General features: G+C 58.6%; 1 annotated feature.

Annotated features, from left to right (window-relative positions):
• Positions 212-712: an enhancer, noted in NCBI's record as "H3K4me1 hESC enhancer chr8:2177015-2177515 (GRCh37/hg19 assembly coordinates)". NCBI's record gives its function as "activates a minimal SCP1, AML or CMV promoter by ChIP-STARR-seq in naive H9 embryonic stem cells {active_cell/tissue: H9 hESC(naive)}" and the evidence as "EXISTENCE:reporter gene assay evidence [ECO:0000049][PMID:30033119]".

Genomic DNA, 997 nt, shown 5'->3' with positions numbered 1-997 from the left:
TCTGCCTCACAGGTTCAAGCGATTTTCCTGCCTCGGCCTCCTGAGTAGCTGGGATTACAGTCGTGCACCACCACATCCGACTAATTTTGTATTTTCAGTAGAGACGGGGTCTTGAACTCCTAACCTCAGATGATCCGCCCTCCTCGGCCTCCCAAATTGCTGGGATTACAGGCATGAGCCAGCGTGCCTGGCTTGCCTAATTTTTTTCAGAAGTGGTTCAGGCGATAAATGAGGCTCCACGCTGGAAAGTGAGTTCTCTTGTGTGGGGTAAACGGGTCGGCCGGAGGAGGAAGGGATGCCCGGAGGGACGGATTTTTCACAGGCAGGTTCACACAGAACACGGACGGGTCTGAGGGTGCAGGGTGCAGGGCGGGCGTGTGTGTGTTCAAGGAAGGGAAGAAGAGGAAGGGCATTTAGAAAGCCCCGGGCACACCTCACTGCACGTTACCCCAGGACGCAGTGGCTCAATAGCAGCCATTTTATCACCTGTCCGGGTTTCTAGGTAGGAACTCAGGCGGACTCACCTGGTGAGGTCTCTGTTTCCCCTAAAGCAGTGGGTGATGCTCAGCCGCTGCAGGGGCTGGACTGGAGGGTTCGGGACAGCGTCATTCACATGTCTGGTGCCCTGTGGGGAAGGAGGCTGCAAGGTGCACGGGCCCAGATGGGGCCTGCAGGTGCCTGCAGGAGGCCTCGGGCAGTCAGAGTTCCTCAACGGCGCTCAGCACTGAGGGAGTGCAGGTTCCAGCCAACAACACAAAGTGAGGCGGTTTCTAAGCCCCCACGGTCACTTTGACGGCCCTCTGGGTGGGAAGCCCAACCGGTCCAAGGGGACGAGGGACACAGACACCCTTTCGACAGGGCCACATAAGAAACCATCCCCACTGAGCCCACAGAGGCTGGAACGCAGGCGCGGGAGAGTAGGAGCAACGCTGGCAGGTGTGGGTGGTCTCACAGAGGCTCTCACAGAGGTCACACCTGACAAAGCCAGGCTGGGAGG

This window comes from Homo sapiens, chromosome 8 (genome assembly GCF_000001405.40).
Source record: "Homo sapiens chromosome 8, GRCh38.p14 Primary Assembly".
NCBI lineage: Eukaryota > Metazoa > Chordata > Mammalia > Primates > Hominidae > Homo > Homo sapiens.
Note: the sequence above shows the minus strand (reverse complement) of the source record. Positions and strands in the feature narration are given on the sequence as shown.